A 23,741-nucleotide genomic window follows, 5' to 3' on the forward strand; every position below is an offset into this window, starting at 1 on the left:
TCCTGAGTAGCTGGGATTACAAGCACACGCCACCACACCCAGCTACTTTTTGAATTTTTAGTAGAAACAGGGTTTCACCATGTTGGCCAGGCTGGTCTGAACTCCTGGCCTGATCCGCCAGCTTTGGCCTCCCAAAGTGCTGGGATTACAGGCATGAGCCACCGTGCCTGGCCTAATTCTGTCTTATTTAAGCCATGTCAAAAACAGCCCAATCTGTGTTCTAGTCAACAAAAGCCAAGAAAAGGAAAGCAGGGCTGAGAGATGGAGAAAGTGGGATTCAGTCTTACAAAACTGTTTACACTGCTGGATCCAGCCATGCCTGAAGGTGGCCACCTTTGGACGTTTCCGTTTCATGGACCATTAAACAACAACAACAAAAAAAGGGTGTTGCTTAAGCCAGTTTGAGTTTGGTTTCTGTTTTAGAACCTAGCAAGTCCCTCCCACCTCAGACCACTCACCTTTCACTGTGACCTTGTGTTCCCCAGTTCCTGGATGAGTGAACAGCTCAACATGGACAGAGACTTCACCCACAGGGTCTTCTACACCCAAGCCTGGGCAGGGCAGGGGAGGATGGTCAGCGTGAGCTCTGTTCTTTCCCACCCACCAGGAGGGACCTTGACGGCCTCCCACCCACCTGTGCTGGCGGCACCAGGTCATCAGCCCTGATAGGGAGGCACTGATGGGGGGCCAGGATGGGAGGTGCTCTTGGGAAGCCAAGAATCCTGGGTTCTGGCCTTTTACTGCCTTGCTGTGTGATCTTGGGTAGATTGCTTAACCTCTCTGAGCCTAATGCAATTCTTTTCTTTTTTCTTATTCCATTGATTGCCATGTTGTCAAAATTCAGTCTTCATGTTACATTACATCTTGGCAGCATCTGGCACCCTGGCCTCCTGTGGCTGTTTGTCCTCTTGGCTGCAACAATGTCACCAACTCGATTCTCATCCTACATAGTTGTCACTCCCTCCAACCCCCTTTTGTCATTTTCTCCTCCGTGGGTCCTCAAACTGACCCTGCACCTCAATATTTGACACTCTTCTTTGTCTTCACTTCCTCCCTAGGTGCCCATAAACTGGAAAATCCTGCCAGCTCTACCTTCAAAATACATCCAGAAGCAGAGCCATGTCTTTTCCCTGTATCCTACACCTGCCCCCAGCATCCCATGCCTGGACTATTGCAGTAGCCTCCTTGCTGGTCTTCCTTCCACTCTTTCATCTACTCTCAGTATACCAGCCAGAAAAATCCTATTAAGTCAGATCATGTCGGCAGGGCGCGGTGGCTCACAGCTGTAATCCCAGCATTTTGGGAGGGTGAGGCAAACTCACTTGAGCTCAGGAGTTTGAGACTAGCCTGGGCAACATGGCAAAACCCCATCTCTACAATAAATACAAAAATTAGTGGCCATGGTGGGGCGTGCTTGTAGCCCCAGCTACTCTGGTGGCTGAGGTGGGAGGAACACTTGAGCTCAGAAGGGTCCAGGCTGCAGTGAGACGAGATCGCACCACTGCACTTCAACCTGGGTGACAGAGCAAGACCCTGTCTCAGAAAATTAAAAAATAAATAAATAACATTTAAAAGTCAGATCATGTCCCTCCTCTGCTCAAAACTCTTCCATGGGTCGGGCAGTGGTGGCTCATGCCTGTAACCCCAGTACTTTGGGAGGCTCATGCTTGTAATCCTAGCATTTTGGGAGGCTGAGGTGGGCAGATAACTTGAGGTCAAGAGTTCAAGCCCATCCTGGCCAACATGGCGAAACCCTGTCTCTACTAAAAATACAAAAATTAGCCGGGTGTGGTAGTGCACGCCTGTAATCCCAGCTACTTGGGAAGCTGAGACAGGAGAATCACTTGAACCTGGGAGGCAGAGGTTGCAGTGAGCTGAGATTGCACCACTGCACTCCAGCCTGGGTGACAGAGAGAGACCCTGTCTCAAAAAAAAAAGAGAGAGAAAAGAAAATTAGCCAGGTGTGGTGATGCATGCACCTGTAGTCCCAGCTATCTAGGAGGCTGAGGCAGGAGGATCGCTTAATCCCAGCTGGTTGAGGCTGCAGTGAGCTATGATCCCGCCACTGCACTTCAGTCTGGGTGACAGAGCAAGACTGTCTCAAAAAACAAAACAAAGCAAAACCAAACTCTTCCATGGCTCCCACCTCACTCTGAGATAATCAAAGTGGTTTTTGTGACCTGCAACACCCCTTCCAATAGTGGCCCTTTCCAATAGGTTACTATTACCTCTCCCCACTCACCCCATTCTTGCCCTTGTTAACTCTGACCCAGCCCCACAGGTCACCTCATTGCATCACCTGGCCCAGAATCCTCATCCCTCCTGATGTGACAGCTCATAGCGGCATCTTTTATTTTCCTTACCCCTATTTCCCTTCTAGTGCAGAATCTTAAGTTTCTTTTTTTTTTTTTTTTTTTTTTCTTTTTTTTGAGATGGAGTCTTGCTTTGTCGCCCAGGCTGGAGTGCAATGGCGAAATCTCGGCTCACTGCAACCTCGGCCTCCCAGGTTCAAGCGATTCTCCTGCCTCAGCCTCCTGAGTAGCTGGGACTACAGGTGCACACCACCACACCCAGCTAATTTTTGTAGTTTTGAGACGGGGTTTCACCATGTTGGCCAGGATGGTCTCGATCTCTTGACCTGGTGATCTGCCCGCCTCGGCCTCCCAAAGTGCTGGGATTACAGGCATGAGCCACCGCACCTGGCCTTCTTTTTTGTTTTTGAGATAGAGTCTTGCTGTGTCACCAGGCTGGAGTGTAATGGCACCATCTCGGCTCACTGCAACCTCCGCCTCCCAGGTTAAAGCGATTCTCCTGCCTCAGCCTCCTGAGTAGCTGGGATTACAGGCATCCACCAACACGCCTGGCTAATTTTTGTTATTTTTAGTAGAGATGGGGTTTCACCATGTTGGCCAGGCTGGTCTCAAACTCCTGACTTCAAGTGATCCGCCCAACTTGGCCTCCCAAAGTGCTGGGATTACAGGCATGCACCACCGCGCCAGGCCTCAACCCCTAATTTTTCCATTATGGAGTCAAAAAGTTCCCTTGTCTGCTTGAATCATGGTGTGGTGGGCTTCTGTTTGGGGCCACCAGCCGTGTCCTCCATGGTGCCAATGGGGATCACTGATGGGGCAGCTTAAAAGAATCTCTCCCGGTCCCGCCTTCTGTGACTCAAAAGGGCATCCTGTGGGGCCTGTGGACCTGTGACCGCCAGCACCTCCACCAACCCCTCCCCACCCCCCACCAGGCAACTCCCCACTCCTGGACCACCCCATGCACGGGGAGAAGAAGGGGAAAGTCAGAGGTGAGGGTGGGAGGTTGGGTCAGTCAAACGCTGATTGGGTTACCTCACGCTGGACAGGAAGTGACTGAGGGTTGGGGAGCACAGGGGCCTGGAGACCCCCATCACCCCAGTACTGGGGTATGTGGCCCCGGTCTTTGCTGCACGCCCCAGGCCGTCTTCCTTGTTGCCTCAGGCTCCCATTCCACCCCCACCCCCCGCCACCAGTCACATGCTCAGCCGCCCCGCCCTCCCCCAGGCCGATGCTTCATAGCAAGCTCAATCCGGGCCAGACTGGGGTGCCGGGGGTGCCAGGGGGAATTGGACAGTGGTGGGTCAGGTGAGGGGTCAGACCAAGGCCAAAGCTAGTAAGAAGGGGGGAGGGAGGCAGTGCTGGGTGCCCCCATCCCGTGCTTTGCTGGCTTCGCGGGGAAGGGTCTTTCCTGGGCCTCTCAGTGCTTCTTCCAACCCCACTCCCCACTCCCCAAGTCCCGGGACCCCTGCAGGGGAAGGTTCCTCGGACAAGTGGTTGAATCTCCTTTGGCTCTCAGTATCTCATCTGTGGAATGATGTACCCCTCGTGGGGCAGTTAAAGAAATCTGTTTCAGTTTCCCCAAGAAGGCTAGGCATGGAGGCTCATGCCTGTAATCCCAGCACTTTGGGAGGCCAAGGTGGGAGGATCATTTGAGGCCAGGAGTTCGAGACCAGCCTGGGCAACATAGCCCAGGAGGTGGCGGCTGCAGTGACCTGAGATTTCGCCATTGCACTCCAGCCTGGGTGACAGCGTCTGCCTCAAATTAAAAACAAAATGGCCAGGCGCTGGGATTACACCTGTCATCCTAGCACTTTGGAAGGCCGAGGCCAAGATGGGTGGACCACTTGAGGCCAAGAGTTCAAGACCAGCCTGGCCAACATGGCAAAACCCCGTCTCTACTAAAAATACAAAAATTAGCCAGGCGTGGTGGTGCGGGCCTGTAATCCCAGCTACTCAGGAGGCTGAGGCACAAGAATCGCTTGAAACCAGGAGGCGGACGGAGGTTGCAGTGAGCTGAGATTTCCCCACTGCATTCCAGCCTGGGTGACAGAGTGAGACTCTGTCTCAAACAACAACAACAAAACCAAACACAGATTCTTCAAGAAATGCCTGGCACAAGGTCCTGCTCAGCCTTAGAGCCTGATAAGTATTCACTGAGATCAGCCTGGGCAACAAAGTGAGGCCACCTCTCTACAAAAAAAATTAAAAATTAGCTAGCCATGTGACGTGTGCCTGTAGTCCCAGCTCCTCGGGAGGCTGGGGCAGGAGGATCACTTGAGCACAGGAGGGAGGCTGCAGTGAGCAGTGATTGCACCACTGCATTCCAGCCTAGGTGACAGAAGGAGACCTTGTCTCTAAATAATAATATCAATAACAATAATCCTATGAAGTAGGGTCCTTGACTGTCCCCATTTTACAGATGAGAAAACTGAGGCTCAGGGAGACAGATTCTTGCCCAAGGTGCCTACCCGTGGAGTGGCTGGGCTGGAATCAGAGCCCAGCTCTTAACCTGACAGGTGCCTGTCCCGGGGTCCCAGGATCTGGCTTAAAAAATATGTCATATCAGGAGAAATGGATTCTGGGATTCCCACTGGAATCGCTTCTTCCCCATGTAGAACCAGCAAATCGTCCTTCCCCCTCACCCGCCTGGGCCCTCCAAGCCGCTCAGGCCTGGGCGGCGGCCCTGCAGGCCCTTGAGGCAGAAGGACGATCCTTTTACTAGCCGGGGCCAGGAGGGGCGCAGGCACCGGGCACCAGGCGCGGGCGGCGGGCGGGAGGCGGAGGCACGTACCCTTCTCAGGATAAATGTCTTCACTAAGGGTAAACCTAGTACCTTTTCCACCATGGACTAATTGGGGGTGGGGGTGGAAGGGGGAGAGAGGTGGGAAGCATGGGGAGCGGGGAGAGACGAGCCAGTGAGAGGTGAGGATGGAGGAGTGTGTGTGGAGGGGGCAGGGGAGGCGCGGAGAGGGGACGGCGAGTGAGAGGGAGGAAAAACAAGAGAGAGAGAAACGTCAGCTGCAGACAGACGGAGAGACAGACAGCCTCCTGCTCCAGGGACACCAGGGACACTAAAAGCAGCCAGGACTGGAAGGGAAGCTGAGCTCAGAGACCCAGCGCCCACGGAGGGCCCTTGGGCTGGCTGGATCGGGGGAGAAGGGGGCCGTTGGAGGCCACAGGGCTTTGCTCCCCTCGCCCCAGGCTGGGTGTCGATGGCGATTCTCCCTCCCCCTCCTGAGTTCAAGCCGCCAAACTTCTTCCCCTTGTCGGGACCAATTTTGAAAAGGGGGGGTCCCCAGGGAATCCTGCCCTCCATCCAGCCCCAGCTGCCGTGTGTGTGCGCTCAGAGAGGGACAGGAGACCGAAGCAAAATACAGAGAGAAAGAGAGAGTTTGAGAAATGGGAACTCCCTCTCCGTCCACCCTCCCCCACCAAGTCGAGGTCCCTCCCGCCCTCGGAGCTGTCAATCATTCCTTAGCCCCATGACATCACAGAGGTCCCTCCTCAGGGGAGTTCAACCACTCTCTGGGACCATGACGTCAAAGTTCCCACCCATGGACCTGCCAATCATTCCTTGACCCCTTGACATCAGAGGTCCTGCCCATCCTGAGCTGTCAATCACTCCTGAAGTCTCCCAGAGCTGTCAACGATTCCCTGGACCCATGACTGTCCAGGTCCCTCAGGAGCTGACAATCATTCATTGGCCCTGGGACACCATTGATTTTCCCAGGAGATGACAATCACCTTGTGGCCCTACGACGTCACAGGTTCCACACCTAAGAGTCATCAATCCTACCCTGGTCCTTGATGTCAAAGACATTCCATCCCAGAGCTGTTAATCATTGTCTGGCCCCAGGACATCACAGATTTTCCCAGGGGTTGACGATCACCTCCAGGCCTGTGACGTCAGAGGCCCCGCCCCCATGAACCTTTGATCGCTCATTGGTCCCTGGACTTGGTGCAGAGATGTCAATTCCGCCCCATCCATGACGTCACAGGGGAGTGAGCCAATGGCAGCCGTTCAGGCTTGGGGCGGGGCTGTCTCCGCGGAGCGGGAAAGGGTGATGCGGTCTGGGTACCCTTACCCTGGGCCGATTGCGTCTGTACAAAGGTCTTGATTAGCAGGTCGGTGGCCTGCGTGTAGAGCGACAGGGCATAGCGCAAGGATTGCAGGTCCGGGCTCTTCTCCAGGAAGGTCTTCTTGAGGCCCACGCCACCCGCGTGGAAATATTGCTGGGGAGGACAGGGTGGGGAGAGGTGAGGATGGTGGGAACCTCTACCCACTCATAGGGCTGGGTAGCCCTGCTGTCCCCACTCCCAATTCTTCCCGCTACTACTTTCTCACCTCTTCCTTTGCTTTGCCTAGTGAACTCCTATGCATTCCTCAGAACCCACCTCTCACATGCCGTCTTCCAGGAAGGCCTGGCTTCTCCCACCTTGGGCTCGCCCAGCCCCCATCCTTCCCTCTACCCTTCTACACCTCAAGAAATGCCTGGCACGAGGTCCTTTACATCCTTCCCTCTACACCTTCTCACTCTTTGGGCTCCCCCAGCCCACATCCTTCCCTCTACCCCAAGCCTAATCCTACAAGGCTGAGAATGTCTGTATCCAGCAGTCTTCCCCGACCTGGGGCTCCTTAAGGCTCCAGCATTAGCCAGCCCAGCTCTGGCACAGACAGGGGAACGAGGGAGTGTCCATAAATTGAACAAATTAATGTGGGTCCGAGGCGAGCCTAAGTCCATGACCACAGCAGCCACACCCTCTACATCCCCCACCTGGGATGGGGAGGGGTAGGGCCTCTCACCTTGATGGTGTCCAGGGCCAACTCAACAACCGCGCACTGCTTTGGGGTCAAGCTCTTGGCTTCTTCTCGTACCATGTGATCCTGGATGGATGGGGAGAGGGGCCATGTGGGTGGAGTGGGCTCCACCTTTGGAATCTGTGTCTATGGGTCTCATCCCTGTTCAACTTGGAGGAGCTGGGCTGAGGGTCTATGTTTTCATCATCCCAGCACCCAATATGTGACTGGTACACAGCAGGTGCTCAAAAAATATTGGTTGAATAAATGACTTGCCCTCTTGATCAAGCTGTACCTGAAGCTGAACCATTCACATCTTTCTGACACACTGGGGAGCAAATATCTTGTGCTTCAGTGAGTAGAGTTTCTGTCCTTTGAGCCTGTAATGCATGTCATCATCCTGGGACCCCTCCCCCAGGATGGTGGCAACCTGGAAGCCACATGAGTTTGGGGGGCAGTCCCTCACGCCATAATCTATCCCCACTCCTCACCTTGAGTTTGGACAGCTGACCCAGCTCCTTGGCTGCATTGAAGATCATCTGGGTTCCCTGCAGGTAACAACATACAGCTGGGTGAGGGCAGGGGTGCTACAGCTGACACTCCAGCCCCAGAGACCATCTTGGTTCTTGCCCAAAGGCTCTGGGCAGGGCAATAATTGTGTCCCAGGGACAGAGGTCTGGAATTCCCCAGGAAGAACTGAGGAGGATGTGGTGACCTTGTCCCTGAAAATCCCGGTCCTGTGAGGATAGTCCCCCACCCTCTCAGCCCCACCCAGGCTTGTGTAACAGGAGAAACAGACAGGGACCAGACTGTGAGGGGCAGTGGGTTGGGGGAGCCTCAGACGGTGGTGTTTGTGGGTGTGGGCAGGGTTTCCAGGGAAAGGGAGCTTTGGGAACACAATAGGCTAGGCTGAGGTTGCAGAAAATGGCTCTGGTCAAACACTTCCTCCTCCTCAAGGAGCATCCCCTCTGCAGGGAAATTTCCCCTGTAATCTGGGAGGAATTTCAGTCTGATTTTTCTTTTCTTTTTTTTTTTTTTTGAGACAGAGTCTCCCTCTGTTGCCCAGGCTGGAGTGCAGTGGCATGATCATAGCTCATTGCAGCCTCAAACTCCTGGGCTCAAGCAATCCTCCCGCCTCCCCAGTAGCTGGGACTACACGTGTGAGCCACCATATCCAGCTAGTTTTTGAAATTTTTTTCATAGAGATGGGGTCTTGTTGTGTTGTCCAGGCTGGTCTTGAATTCCTGGGCTCAATCGATCCTCCTACCTCAGCCTCCCAAAGTGCTGGGATTACAGGCGTGAGCCACATTGCCAGCCAGTCTGACCTTTTAAAGGAAAAATCCTCCCTCTATACAAACACCTCCATATCCGTCCTCCACCCCACCCCCAAACAGACACTAGCAAGATGGTGATGTGGTGATGGCTCTGACAAGCCAGATGGGCCTGGGTTCAAATTGCAGTCCTGCTGTGTGGCCCTGGGCAAGGCACTTAACCTCTCTGAGCCTCAGTTTTCCCATCTAGATGAGGAAAATTATATCCACTTTGTGGCTTAGTCTGGACTGAACAAGTCTTTGCTCAGTGTTCGCTAATTATCACTTGGTCTCAAAGTCACGGGCAATGCTAAGGGAGACGGGGTCCCAGCCTGGAAGGCATGTGTCTAGCCTCCTCTGTCACTGCTGGATGGCCCCAGGCTTGTCCCTGAATGCTCTGAGCCTCAATTCCCACTGTGGCTAACAGGGATACCCATGGTAACTTGGGGGACAGGGTGGGGCTGAGTATTGAGGTAACAAGTCTTGTCTTACTGGGTCCTGGGGTGGTCTGGGGGTCCTGGGTGAGGCTAGGTGGGGAGGGGGCCCATTTACTGTGGAAATATTTGGAATTATGTTCATAGTCTACCAGCTGGCCATCTGGTCATTCCTAGAGGTATTACTATTATCATCTTGGCTGTTACTATTCTTATTTCTTGTCTGTGATCCTGAGGTTCTTACAAGGCACAGTTACTCAGGGGTCCAGCGGACTGGGCCTCAGTTTCCCCTGCTGCACCCACCTGTAGTCTGGCAGGGCTCAGGGGCCTTCCTGGGTACCCTCTGCCCTACCCACCAACCCCCCACCCACCACCCCCCACGAGCAAGCCAGACAGACAAAGGAAGAAGAGACCAACAGACAGGTTCACAGTACGCCCTCGGACGGCACGAACCACAGAGGTGGAAGGGGGCACAGGGGTGGGGTGGGGGGGAGTGGGATGGGAGCCAGACAGACAGTGAGAGGCCGGTCTTACGTCTGAGTGGCTTGGCAATTTCACCCTGCCCTGTGGAGAGAATCAGGTGGAGGTCAGAGTTCTGGTGACTGTTGGGAGGATACTCAGTGGGACTTCCCTGCCCCCTCAAAGCACAGTCTCACTTCCCAGCCCAGGAGCTCCTCCCCAGGTCCTGGGTCTAATGGTGGGCCCCCTCCCCAGCTAGCACCTCCTCTGGTCCCCTAGCAGGGGTTTAGAGGTCAGACTCCTTGACTGCCAGCACACTCTCGGGGTACCCAGGAGGCTGGAAGCAGCCTCATCCCACAGTCAGCCTGCCCCAGGATGGGGCACCTGGGGAGGTGGGGAGATGAGACAGGGCTAGGAATCTGTCTCCTCCTCCATTCCCTAAGGGGCTGCCCCTATATCCCAGCACCCAAGTCTACAAAAAACATATTAACATATACTGTAAGTTCACTCAGTGCTGAAGAACCCATACACTAAACTACATACGTGCACTCCTAAACACTTGCAGGCACGTACACAATTATATCACACACAAAAACCCACACACCCTTCTTGACCCCACACGGATTCACATCCACATATAGGGTGCCTGGGACACTGAATGTGCCCCGCAAAGGGCTGGCAGAGAGAGTACGGAACCCCTGTGACCCACATTCACAAAGCTAAGACTCCATTTGTAGACACAAATGTACAACGATATCTTCTGCACAAGTGTACAGCAAGACAGCTGCTTGCGTGTTGCTGTAGCTCCCATCTCCTTAACAACAAACACCCATTAGCACAGCAACAAAAAGAAATCTACGTAAAAAACAACACGTCTCAGTCCAGGGTGGTGATCTAGCGTGTAGGCTCCTCAAGAAGGCACAGAATTTCAGCTGAGCCCAGGGCTCAGATGAGCCCTGTGGGTATTGCTGTGGGAGGATGGGAGCTGTTTGTGCACACACATTAGTTCACATGTGGACACACACACTGCACGTTCTGTCCCTGGAGAATCACTTCATCTCTGACTTCTGGTTTTGCAGGACTTGGTTAGGAGAGCTATCTCCTACCCACGACCCCCAGCTGCCCTTCCTGCCCAGGTGCACAGACGCACACACATGCACACACATGCCCAGACACTGGAGCTCAGGGCCTCAGTGAGACGAGGCCCTCATTACCTTTTCTAATCCCTTGCCATGTTTTCTCAAGAGGTTCCCCTGCAGAGATAATGTCACAGGGTGATCAACCTGGCAAGTCGTGCAGGGTGGGAAGCTGGGATGCTCACAGGAATATTCATGGGGATGGGGGAATCCACACTGCACAGGGTACTGGTGACTGGGTTGCATGGGGATAGTGTGTTTGTGTGTGTGTCTGTGTGTGTGCACACACGTGCATGCGCTTTAGTGACTCACTCTTAAATGGTGTGAGAGGCAGAGACAGGAAAGAGAGAGAAAGATACAGATACAGAGCTAAAGAAAGTCAGAAAGAAGGGAAAAAAGCCACTGCCAAAATATAATCCATTTACATTTACTGTACACATGAGACTCTTGGTTCTTGGGTTAACAGGAAAGCAAATGGGCTGCATATTCAGACAGATCTGAATTTGAATCCTGATTCTGGCATATATTTACTATATGACCTTGAACAAGTGACTCCTCTCTGAGCCTCAGCTTTCCTCATCTGCAAAATGGGGATAATAATATCCACCTCACTCAAAGGGTTATCATGAAGGTGAGCTGAAACAGGAGCTATGAGAAGGCCTGGCATATGGGGAGTCATTAAATGCGAATTCCTTTATTCCCCCTGCCTACAAATGCATTGCCTGTGGTTGGGTATGCTGCCACCAAGTGGTTATAGCCAAAGACCCAGGCTGCAGCTACCAGGAAGTAAGAGCCCTTGTAAACTTTTAACAAAGTGAAATCTTGTAACAGCCTTGTCTTGCCCACAAAGGGAAAATCTGAAGTTGTTTTGTCTCTGCTCTTACACATGTCTGCATATCACCACCACCACCACCACCACCACCACCACCATTAGCTCTGCCTCTGGGCCGGTCACTGAGAGTGCAGTGGCGCGATCTCGGCTCACTGCAACCTCTGCTTCCTGGGTTCAGGCAATACTGAGATGAGTATTTTAATGCATCATGCCATTTGGTTCTTAGAACTACCCTCAGGGAGGTGATGCAATGAGCCCCATTTTCCAGACAAGGAAACAGAGGCTGGGAGGTCAAGTGACTTCCCAAGGTCACAGAGAGAGACAGTGGCTGGGCTAGGATTTGACCCCAAGTCTACCTGACATCAAAGCCATGACAAAAGTCTCCCACTTGGGCACCTGGGTGTATGTCTGGGATTGGTGTGTGTCGGTGTGGATGGCGGGAGTTGGGTAGACAGGGTGGTGGGGTACCAAGGAATGGTCTGGAGCATGGAATTTCAGAGGAATCAGAAGTAGAGACCCTCATGGTGAGGACCTGCATTCTGGGAAGCTGCTGACAGTTCAGAGCCCAAAGAGGAGGTCAGAGGAATCCTGGGGTTGATCCTCTTTCTAGCTTCAGGGCGTCTGGTGACATCTGGGCACGGGAGCAAGGTTGGATTCTACCCTTAGACGGCAGGTCCGCTGCGAAGGAGGAGCTGGGCTTGGGGTTTGGGAGTGGGTAGTGGGGCTCCTCTGGACTTCAGTGGGACAGGGAGGGTGGGCGTGGTCTCCCTCCCTCCCAGCCCCGCCCCCTCCCCATGCCCCGCCCCAGACAGACACAGGCACATCTAGGCGGGAGGGAGGATGGTGGGTGAGGAGGGGGCGCTGGGTGGGTGGGGAGAGGGGTGCAGCGACGCGGTGGGCCGAGTCCAGACACAGAGAGGACGGACAGACAGACGGACAGACGGGACTCTACTTACGATCATCTGTCATCCGTGATGGGGGCGGGGCGGTGGGGGAGGGGGGAATAAGGTACCATGAGTCTCCCGGGAAGGCCAGGGAGGGGGCAGAGATGGCAGCACGGAGGGGCAAGACCCCTGCCCCAGCCCAGCCCAGAAGAGGTGGAAGGATGGGAAGTCCGAGCCTCCCCGACCATCGTCGCCCATCTATGGCCCCCGCTCACCCTCCCCAAGCCTCCGTGGTCCACCTGGGAAAGACCTCCCCACTCCCTAATGTGCCCACAGCCCACATGCCATTGCTGTCCTCAGGTTCTTGATGCCTCCCGGAGGGACCCACGCCCAGCTACATCCCTCTACAGATGTTTGGGTCCCCTTGGTCCCTAGAGATTATGGCCTCTGGTCTATCGGTCCTGGTCTCTGGATGGCCAATGATCTCTGCTTGACCTCTCTGACCTTGGATGCCCTCCATGACCTCTGGCTGACTTCCAGGAGCCCCTTGGTCTATTGATCTCTGATGTCTGAAGTCCATGGTGTCTCCCCTCTTTGGCTTTTGAATGAGCCCCAAAGCCCTTAGAAAAACCCATTGATGTCTATGCCTTCTCTTTTTTTTTTTTGTTTTTTTGAGAAAGGGTCTCGTTCTGTTGCCCAGGCTGGAGTGTGCAGTGGCGCCATCTCAGCTCACTGCAGCCTCTACCTCTTAGGTTCAAACAGTTTTCGTGCCTCAGTTTCCCAAGAAGCCAGGATCACAGGATCACACCCAGCTAATTTTTGTATTTTTAGTAGAGACGAGATTTCACCATGTTGCCCAGGCTGGTCTCGAACTCCTGACCTCAAGCAATCTGCCCGCCTCGAGCCTCCCAAAGTGCTGGGATTGCAGGCGTGAGCCACGGTGCCTGGCCAATGTCTATGCCTTCCGTGGCTCAAGGATAACCTTGATCCCAAAATTGACCTGTTTTCTAGATGACCTCTGACCTTTGAAAGCTATTTTGACCTACATGTGACCTCTATGACTTTAGTGGTCTCTTGACTCTACCTGATGTCTTTGACCCCAGAGAAAATACAATGGACTCTGAATGACCTCTTTAACTCTTCGATGATCTTTAACCCCTGTGTGAACTCTCTGACCTCTGAATGGCCCCCCACTGACCTCTGGTGGCTTCCATGACCCTTGAATGGCCCTTGAGCCTGGATGACCTCTCTGAGACCGGATGCCTTTGTTCTTACCCCCCAGCCTCTAGGCACCAAGTTTTCTGGGCTCTCGCCAGGGAGGTGGCCTAAATGTCCCCTCGGGCCCCCTGCAGGTCTCACCGTCTGGTCAGTGAGGGGCGGCAGGACGATGGTTTTCTCCATGGTGTTCATAACCAGCTTCCACAGCTCCTTCAGCACTCGCTTCAGCACAGTCTTCTCACAGATTTTGGCAAAGAGGGTCAGGCTGGGGACGAGGGGCAGGTCTGAGAGAGGGCCCAGCTCGCCCCCACCCACAGATCACCTTCCCTTAACAGGTGGGCAAGGCATTCCACAGATAGGAAAGAGGGCCCACAGCCTGTACAGGGACCCCTGGGTGGTTTGATGGGGCTATGATATCTGATGCATGAAGAGAAGAGTGAGTGGTGGTTGGACTAGTCAGCAGGGACCAGATGGGAAGGGGCCCCAATGTCTGGGAGGAAGGCTTGGGTTTTATCAGGATGGGGGTAGTGGGGAGCCATGGAGTGTTCAAGAGGGAGACACAGCCAGACTTTCATGTTTGAAAGAACAGTGTGGGGGATGAACCGAAACAGGAAGGATGGAGATCAGGGACTATGAGGGAGAAGGCCATGCCCAAGAGGAACAGGAGGGGAATGGTCAGAGGAGGGCAGACTTGAAAGGGAAAACAGCAAAGAGATTGTGGTTGGATGGATAGGGGTTGAAGGAGACAGGCAGTCCACCAAGATCCATCCACCAACTGATCCAGTCACCCACCAATCCATCCCTCCCCCAGTGGTCCTTAATTCTCTATTTCTTTTTCTATCCATCCATCCATCCATCTGTTCATCCATCCATCCTTCCATGCATCCTTCTACCCATCCATCCACTTATCCATTTATCTATCCATCCACCTGTCCATTCATCCATCTGTCCATCCATCTATGCATCAAAACATTTATTCATCCATCCAAATATTTCTCACCTATTAATCCATCCATCCATCGACCCACTCATCCACCCACCCCCCCATCTGTCCAACCATTTATGCATCAAAACATTTATTTATCCATCCAAATATTTATCCACCTATATCTATCCAGCATCCATCCATCTACCCACCCACCCATCCAACCATCCATTCATCCATCCACCCATCTGTCCATCCATTTATGCATTAAAACATTTATTCAATGATCTAAATATCTATTGACCTATCCATCCATCCATTCATCCATCCATCCATCCAGCCAGCCAGACAGACATCTATGCATCAATCCATCTATACATCAAAACATTTATTCATTCATCCAAATATTTATCCACCTATCTATCCATCCATCTACCCACCCATCCATTTATTCATCCATCCACCCATCTGTCCATCCATTTATGCATCAAAACATTTATTCATCCATCCAAATATTTATCCACATATCCAACCATTTATCCATCCATCCATCCATCCATCCATCCATCCATCCATCCATCGTCCATCCAACCATCCATCAAGCCAGCCTGCCAGACATCCATCCATCTAAGCATCAATCCATCTATGCATCAAAACATTTATTAATCCATCCAAATATTTACCCAACTATCCACCCATCCATCTTTTTAAAACATCTATCCTCCCTCTATCCTTCTAAACATTTATCTTTTAATCCATGCGTCCACCCACCTACCCATCCCTCATGTCACCTATTCATCCACCATTCATTCATCCACACAAATATTTACTCACCAATCCTTCCAATTATTTACCCACCCAACTTTCCATCCCCTTCATGCCACCATCTACTCAGCCATCCAACTATCCAGTGACCACCCAGCAAACATTCCCTGCACACCCTCTCCAGCCAGTCCCTGGGTCTCTATGGCCCTGCCCCAGCCCCTCCCCGGCCAGCCCAGTCCACCTGGCCCAGCTCACTTGCTGTCCAGCAGGTCCATGATGGGCTGCAACACATTGTCCGCGTCCTGGGCCACGCTGCTGCAGGCACTGGCTGGCACATTGCCTGTGCCCTTAACCTGGCTAAGGATGTCACCCATCTGTTTGACACACTCTTCAATGTGCGGCTGGAAGCTGGGGACACAGAAGGGAAGGGCTCAGACCACAGGAAGGGCTGGATGAGGACACAGATGCTGATCTGTGGTCCTTGAGGTCATATCATTTGCATCACAGCACATAACCGAGCAAGAATGGAGAACAGGCCAGATGCGGTGGCTCACGCCTTTAATCCAAGCACTTTGGGAGGCCAAGGCGGGCGGATCACGAGGTCAAGAGATCGAGACCACCCTGGCCAACATGGTGAAACCCTGTCTCTACTAAAAATACAAAAATTAGCTGGGTGTGGTGGCATGCACCTGTAGTCCCAGCTACTTGAACCCAGGAAGTGGAGGGTGCAGTGAGCCGAGATCGCGCCACTGCACTCCAGCCTGGTGACAGAACGAGACTTCGTCTCAAAAAAAAAAAAAGAGTGGAAAATAGTAACTGCAGAACCAGGCAAAGGGATAAGACATTTGCCCGCATTGTTCATTTCATTCTCAAAATCCTACCCAGGTACTATTATTGTCATCACCCCAAATTTACAGAGCAATAAAAAAAAAAATAAGGCTCAGAGAAGTTAAGTGACTCACCCAAGGCCACACAGCTAGTAAGCAGTAAAGCCAAGATTTGAACTCAGCCTTGTCTAACTCTGAGCCTGCAATCTTCACCTCTACATCTGCTGAGCCTCCAGATGCCCCAGGCTTAGAGGGCTGAAGGCTGTTCCCTCCCCACTGCCCCCAGCCCTGGAGATGCTCCCACCTGGTAGCAAACACCCGGCTGAGCTCATCCAAGACGTTATTGAGTTTCACCTGAAGCTCCTTCAGGATGTCACTGGCTTCAGCATCCAGCTAAGGAGGGAGAAGGGACACCAGGCCAGGTTCAGTAAGTATCCACATGTACTGGGCATTTTCTCATCTGACCCAGGGAAAGGGATCCCAAGGGGCTGCAGGGGAAACTGAGGCACAGACCGTTATGCTGCAAGCCTGGGTTTAAGGCCATGGTTGAGCTGGAATTCATCCCCAGGCCTGGTGGCATATGAGCTCAGGGGCCTGCAGGGACACAGTGGTGGGGGTGCCCCATCCCTTCTCCAGCCCTGCCTCGGCCCTGCCTCACCTCCTTTCCTCCCATGGCTTCGAACATCTTCTCCAGCTGAACTCGTAGCTGTTGAGTGTTATTCATGAGAATGCAGGGCTGTGGGTGGGAACAGAGAGGGGAGTCAAGCCTCAGGACCTCTCCCCAGAGCCTCCCCTACCCACCGCCAGGGACCTTGGGATGGTTTCAGGGTCTGGGTCTGGAGGAAGCTGGGGTCCCATGGGGTCACCTGCAAATGGAAGGGAGCTTTTGTGCTCAGGTTCCTGGGCGTGTTGTTGGGGCGGGCATCTCTGGGGACTGGTGGGGGCAAGGAGGACTCAAGTAATCCCACGACCCCAGGCCTGGTGGGGGGTCCATGAGAGGGGCTGGGAACTCTGGGAGTAGCAGAGTTTCCTGCAAGAGCCCAAAGCTTTGCAGCTCACACCCTGAAGGCTTCATTTGCAACAGCCAGACAGTGACACACTGAAGGCGTGTGCCCTCACCCCGAGATATACACACGAGACCCCCCCCACAGATACACACACTCAGACATGCACAGCCAGACACAGCCATAGACACACACTCACACCACGCACATTCAACACCGCCATACCAAACCTGGTGAGACACACCCACCCAGACGTGCACAAACACACACACACACTCACACTATATGCAGTTAACTCAGCCAGACAAAACACGGTCACACACACCCAGACATGCACAGCTGGACACACACACAAGCATACACACACTCACACTATAACCAGTTAACACAGCTAGATAAAATATGAGACACACACCTAGATGTGTTGTATAGTTGAACACACATACTCACACATACATACACTCACACTATACCCGGTTAACACAGATGAAACATGGCTAGATACCCACACTCAGATATGTACAGACACACACAGATACACACATTCATGTTATACCCAGTTAACACAGCCAGACGAAACACAATCACACAGATACACACACTCATGTTATACCCAGTTAACACAACCAGACGAAACACAATCACACACGCACACTCAGACGTGCACAGTTGGACTCACACACACATTCATGCCATACCCTGTTAACAAAGCCAGACAAAACATGATCAGACACGCACACTCAGATGTGCACAGACTCACACACACACACACACGCAGAGTATACCAGTCAACACAGACAATACACAGTCAGACACATGCACTTACTTCCCATACACTCAGACACACACAACTAGATACACTCTGATCACACACATTCAAACAAGCACCTCTAAACACACAGACAATCCAGTCAGATCACACACAGGTGGACATACATAGCCCCAGGTGTCAGGGCCCTGGGGAGAAGGGAGTCCTGGGGATGCTGAATGGGGCTGAGGAGGGAGATAGGTCAGGGGCCCCCTCAGGTCACCACTTTCTCCTTCTCCTTGGAGCAGTAGGAGGCAAAGTCCTTGGAGATGATGTCTGCATACTGGAGGAGCACATTACTGATGGTCTGGGGAAGACACAGAGTGTGGGTGAGAGGAGAGGCTGGCACCAAGGCAGGCGCCAGTCGTCCCATCAAGGCCACTAGTGAGATCAGTGATGAACCCAAACCCTATTAGGACCTAAGATGGGCCTTTGGGCTAGGCAAATTCTCCACTCAAGATGACCATCAAGACCTAGAGGAGATACCGCTCGATGAAGATGATCATTTTATGTAGACCCAGCTCTTTTTCAGAGCAACCAAGCATCATATTAACCCAGCCTCAACCACAAGATGACCTGATCTCAAATCAAAAGCCAATTCCTACTTGTAATTCCCAAGGTCAACACAGCCTAATGCCAATGAATCAAACCTCAACCCCAATGATCCCAACCCTCAAACTCACCCCAAGACTCACTCAAATTGTGCATCAATCTCAGCACTCACTCCAATCTCAATTCCAAATCAAGACCCAGCACAGCCTCAAACTCCAACCAAACAGCATTGCCAACTCGCACTAATGACCTCAATTCCAACCCTGATCTCAACCCACACCTCAACTCCAACCTTACCCTACACCTCAACTCCAACCCCAATCTCAACTCCAATCTCAATTTAAACCCTAACCCCAACTCCAACCTCCATTCAAACCTCAACTCCAACCTCATCTCAACCTCAACCTCAACCCAAACTTCAACTCCAACCTCAACCCAAACTCCAACTTCAATCCCAACCTCAATGACATCACCAACTCCAACCTCAACCTCAACCTTAGCCCATCTCCAACTCAGACTTCAATTCCCTAACCCTGACCCTGTCCCCTAGCCCCAACCCTACCCACTCTCCCACACCTTGGCAAAGCGCCTCATGTAGTGCCCCACGATCTGAGGGTCGGGACACTCGAGTTTCTTGATGATTTCAAAGCTCTGGTTGAGTTGGGAGAAAACATCCACCACGGAGCAGGAGAATAGGGCATGCTCTGAGGTCTGCTGGAACTGCAGGGGGAAGGAGGCCAAGAGGAAGGAGGAGATCAGCACCAGAGAATCCCTAGAGCCCAACTCTCCCACTCTCCACGGGGAGAGCCAGAGACCAATTTCCCCGGGGTGAGATGGACAGAGGGCGAGGTAGACTTAGAGTCAACTCTAGAGGTGGACGCAGAAGCCATGGGGTGCCTGGAGGTGTCCGGCTTGATGGAACTCACATTTTGTAGTTGATGAATGAACAAAAGATTTTAAAAACCATGAGCAAGACAAAGATGGCGGACACCTACCAGAGACTGGCCTCATCTCAAGGGCAAATTTCCACCTAAATTGACCCCAGTGGGAAGATTAGGAACTTGGTTGTGGGTGGGCCTTCTTACCCCATCCTTCTTGTCTCGCTCCAGGGCACCGTGCAGGAAATCCCGGGACACCTCCTCATTCTCATCCAGCCACTGGATGACGAAGGGTTCAAACCATCTGGAATGAAGAGCCGGGGTGGGGCTCTGCCACCTCTTGTCCTCCTCAACCTCTGCGCCGCCTGGTTCTGACCCACTAACGAGTGGAGCTATGGCTGCTCCTGCTCTGCCTGGAGCTCTCCCTGCAGCCTTGAGTGGCTGCTCCTCTGCTCGCCTCCTGCACTGAACCTCAGTTACTTTGCTCATGAAATAGATTGAGTGGCCCCTTTTACAACAGGGCCCAGGCCTGTGGGAATCCTAGTTCAGATAAGCTGCCCATGGCAAGTGGGTTTATTCTCTGAGTCCTCTCTGAGTCCTCCGTCCATCCTTCCCTCCCTCCCTCCCTCCTTCCTTCCTTCCTTCCTTCCTTCCTTCTTCAGATAAACTGCCCATGGCAAGTGGGTTTATTCTCTGAGCTCTTGTTTTCTCCCTCCCTCCCTCCCTCCCTCCTTTCCTTCCTTCCCTCCCTCCCTCCCTTCCTTCCTTCCTTCCTTCTTCCTTCCTTCCTTCCTTCCTGGGTCTTGTTCTGTTGCCCAGGCTAAAGTGCAGTGGTGCGATCACAGCTCACTGCAGCCTTGACCTGCTGGGTTCAAGCAATCCTCCCACCTCAGCTTCCCGAATAGCTGGCACTACAGGCACATGCCACCATGCCCGGCTAATTTTTTTTTTTGTCTTCTTTGTAGAGACAGGATTTCCCTGTGTTGCCCAGGCAGGCCTTGAACTCCTGGCCTCAAGTGATCCTCCCACCTTGGCCTCCCAAAATGTTGGGATTACAGGAATGAGCCACCGCATCCAGCCAGAGCTTTCGTTTCTTGTACAACAGAAGACTAGCCATCCTCCTGTGCTGCTGGGAGCAGAGAACGACACCACAATTCTCAGGAACCGGCGGCACCGTACTATCCTCCAACACACAGCCCAGGAATCAGATGTCCCGAGTTCAAATCTCGGGTCTGTCATGTACTGGGAGTCACCGTGGGCAAGGAATGTGGCATTTATTCACTCATTCATTTTATTTTTATATTTATTTATTTTTTGAAATGGAGTCTCACTCTGTCGCCCAGGCTGGAGTGCAGTGACACGATTTCCGCTTACTGCAACCTCTGCCTCCTGAGTTCAAGCGATCCTCCTGCTTCGGCCTCCCGAGTAGCTGGGACTACAGGTGTGTGCCATCACACCCGGATAATTTTTTTCTTTGTTTTTGAGACGGAGTCTCACTTTGTTGCCCCAGCTGGAATCCAGTGGTGCAATCTCGGCTCACTGCAACCTCCGCCTCCTGGGTTCAAGCAATTCTCATGCCTCAGCCTCCCAAGTAGCTGGGATTACAGGCATCTGCCACCACACCTGGCTAATTTTTGTATTTTTAGTAGAGACAGGGTCTCACCATGTTGGCCAGGCCGGTCTCAAACTCCTGACCTCTGGTGATCCACCCACCTTGGCCTCCCAAAGTGCTGAGATTACAGGCATGAGCCACTGCGCCCGGCCAATTTTTGTATTTTTGTAGAGCTGGGGTTTCGCCCTATTGGCTATGCTGGTCTCGAACTCCTGACCTCAGGTGATCTGCCCACTTCGGCCTCCCAAAGTCCTGGGATTACAGGCACAAGCCACTGTGCCTGACCCATTCATTAATTTTAGAGATGGGATCTGACTATCTTTTCCAGGCTGGTCTCGAACTCCTGGGCTCAAGCAAGTCCTGCCTCAGTCTCCCAGATTGCCGGGGCTACAGGCATGTGCCACCATGCCTGGCCATTTGGCATCTTTAACTCTCCAATTTCTCCTCCGCAAAATAGGAATTAAAATGATCCCACCTTAACTCATAGAATTGTCAAAAGGATAAAATGAGAAAGTCACATGGTTCCTGTTGCTGTTGACTGAATTTTCTGGGCTGTAGGAGTCAACTGCTCAATGGCTGAGAGTGGAGAACACTGGATTCAAGCCCCACCCATGCCCCTGATGCCCAGGTAACCCTAAGTAGGTCAGTCTTCCTCTCTGGCTTTCCTTCTAGCTGTCAGTGCTACAGTTCTGGCTTGGGTTGGGCCTGGGGCAGGGGACTTACGCAGGGTACTCAGGCACGCGGTCCTTGAAGGCGGGAAGTTCCGTCACATACTCATTGTAGAGCCATTTCACCTTGAAGTGGAGGTTCATGTAGTCGGCACTCTTGCATAGACGATGCTTGTCGTGCTCTGGCCAGGGACAAAGAGGATGGCACAGCTGGAAGGGTCTGCCACCCTCTGTCTCGGCAGAGAGGCTGCCTACTCTGGCCATCACTGATTTCCAACTCAGGCATGAGGGTATTATAGGGTGCTCACAGCCTTGGAGGGGACACAGAGGTACAGCCACCTGGTGTGGCCAGGCTGGGGAACACTGGGGTGGGAAACTCACCCTCCATGGCGTACTTCATGTCTTGGGCAAACAGATTCCACATCACTTCAGCGCTGATTTTACCCACATTCAGCTCCTGGGGAAACCTGGCAAAGTCATGGAAGTATAAAACTTTGGCAGGCAGAAGGCAGATGGGATGGGCTGCTTTGTCCTTCCCTGCCCCACAGAGGAGTGTAGGGTAGGGTAGAGGGATTTGGGTTCAGGTTCCCTCATAGCCACTGCTGACTGACTCTGCACTAAGGCTTTGTTTCCCTTTGAGCCTCCACCCACTCATCCATTTGTCCCTCCATTCATTCATTCATCCACTCATGCAACTATCCACCCATACATTCAACAACTCATTTATCTATTCCTCCATCCATTCATCCATCCTTCCATCCATTCATTCACCCACTCATGCAACTGTCCACCCATCCATGTACCCATCTATCTATTCATCCATCCACCCATTATCCACCCATCCAACCATCCCTTCATCAATTCATTCACCCACTCATGCAACTATCTATCCCTCCACCTACCCATCTATCTATTCATCCATCCACCCATCCATCCATCCCTCTATCCATTCATTCACCTACTTATGCAACTATCCACCCATTCATTCACCTATCCATCTATCTATTTATCCATCCATCCCTCCATCCACTCATTCACTCATTCATCCAACTATTCATCCATCCACTCAACCACCCATCTATCTGTTCATCCATCTATCCCTCTACCCATTCATCCAACTATCCATCCATCCACCTACCCATCTATCTATTCATCTATCCACCCATCCATCCATCCATCCCTCTTTCCATTCATTCACCTAATTATGCAACTATCCACCCATCCGTTCACCTATCCATCTATCTATTCATCTATCCATCCATCCCTCCATCCATTCATTTGCTCATTCATCCAACTATTCATCCATCCACTCAACCACTCATCTACCTGTTCATCCATCTATCCCTCCACCCATTCATCCAACTGTCCATCCAGCCACCTACCCGTCTATCTGTTCATCCATCCATCCGTCCATCCTTCCATCATCCACCTATTTATCTGTCCTTCCATCCATTCATTCGCCCACTCATACAACTATCCACCCACCCATTAAATGACCCATCTATCTATTCATCCATCCACCTATCCATCCATCCCTCTATCCATTTATTTACTCACTTATGCAGCTATCCACCCATCCATTTACCCATCCATCTGTCCACCCATCCATCCATTCCTTTTTTTTTATTTAGAGACGGAGTCTCACTCTGTCACCCAGGCTGGAGTGCAGTGGTGCGATTTCAGCTCACTGCAACCTCCACCACCCGGGCTCAAATGATTCTCGTGCCTCAGCCTCCCAAGTAGCTGGGATTACAGGCGCGAGCCACTATGCCCGGCTAATTTTTTATATTTTTAGTAGAGATGGGGTTTTGCCATGTTGGCCAGGCTGGTCTCAAACTCCTGACCTCAGGTGATCCTCCCGCCTCGGCCTCCCAAAGTGCTGGGATTACAAGCGTGAGCTGCCACACCTGGCCCATCCGTTCCTTTATCCACACAGTCATCCTTCTACCAATCTATCTGTCCATCTGTTATTTACTTATTTATTTAGAGACGGAGTCTCGCTCTGTCACCCCAGGCTGGAGTGCAGTGGCGCAATCTCGACTCACTGCAACCTCTGCCTCCTGGGTTCAAGCAATTTTCCTGCCTCAGTCTCCCACTAGCTGGGATTACAGACGTGTACCACCACGCCCGGTTAATTTTTGTTTTGTTTTTTCTGTTTTTTTTGAGACGGAGTCTCACTCTGTTGCCCAGGCTGGAGTGCAGTGGCCAATCTCGGCTCACTGCAAGCTCCACCTCCTGGGTTCACGCCATTCTCCTGCCTCAGCCTCCCGAGTAGCTGGGACTACAGGCGCCCACCACCACTCCCGGCTAATTTTTGTA

The 23,741-nt window shown here is 52.4% G+C and overlaps 1 protein-coding gene across 7 annotated transcripts in view; it reads right to left on the bottom strand.

Annotated features, from left to right (window-relative positions):
* UNC13A (unc-13 homolog A) overlaps positions 1–23,741 on the bottom strand; it is an 87,019-nt gene that overhangs the window by 9,969 nt on the left and 53,309 nt on the right. For 2 of the 7 annotated variants that reach the window (XM_011527810.3, NM_001080421.3), the window contains 16 exons: positions 21,804–21,889; positions 21,478–21,604; positions 19,350–19,446; positions 18,841–18,984; positions 17,936–18,019; positions 16,559–16,636; positions 16,205–16,293; positions 15,329–15,481; positions 13,525–13,648; positions 12,238–12,243; positions 10,528–10,566; positions 9,389–9,418; positions 7,602–7,658; positions 7,117–7,197; positions 6,398–6,545; positions 459–551 (listed from right to left, as the gene is read on the bottom strand). In XM_011527810.3, coding sequence (XP_011526112.1) covers positions 459–551; positions 6,398–6,545; positions 7,117–7,197; positions 7,602–7,658; positions 9,389–9,418; positions 10,528–10,566; positions 12,238–12,243; positions 13,525–13,648; positions 15,329–15,481; positions 16,205–16,293; positions 16,559–16,636; positions 17,936–18,019; positions 18,841–18,984; positions 19,350–19,446; positions 21,478–21,604; positions 21,804–21,889 — 1,436 coding nt within the window. The remainder of the gene's footprint in view (positions 1–458; positions 552–6,397; positions 6,546–7,116; positions 7,198–7,601; positions 7,659–9,388; positions 9,419–10,527; positions 10,567–12,237; positions 12,244–13,524; positions 13,649–15,328; positions 15,482–16,204; positions 16,294–16,558; positions 16,637–17,935; positions 18,020–18,840; positions 18,985–19,349; positions 19,447–21,477; positions 21,605–21,803; positions 21,890–23,741) is intronic. The other 5 variants (XM_017026502.2, NM_001387022.1, NM_001387021.1 and 2 more) reach the window with 5 other exon arrangements.

The sequence above is a fragment of the Homo sapiens genome, chromosome 19, assembly GCF_000001405.40.
Source record: "Homo sapiens chromosome 19, GRCh38.p14 Primary Assembly".
NCBI classification, from domain to species: Eukaryota; Metazoa; Chordata; class Mammalia; order Primates; family Hominidae; genus Homo; species Homo sapiens.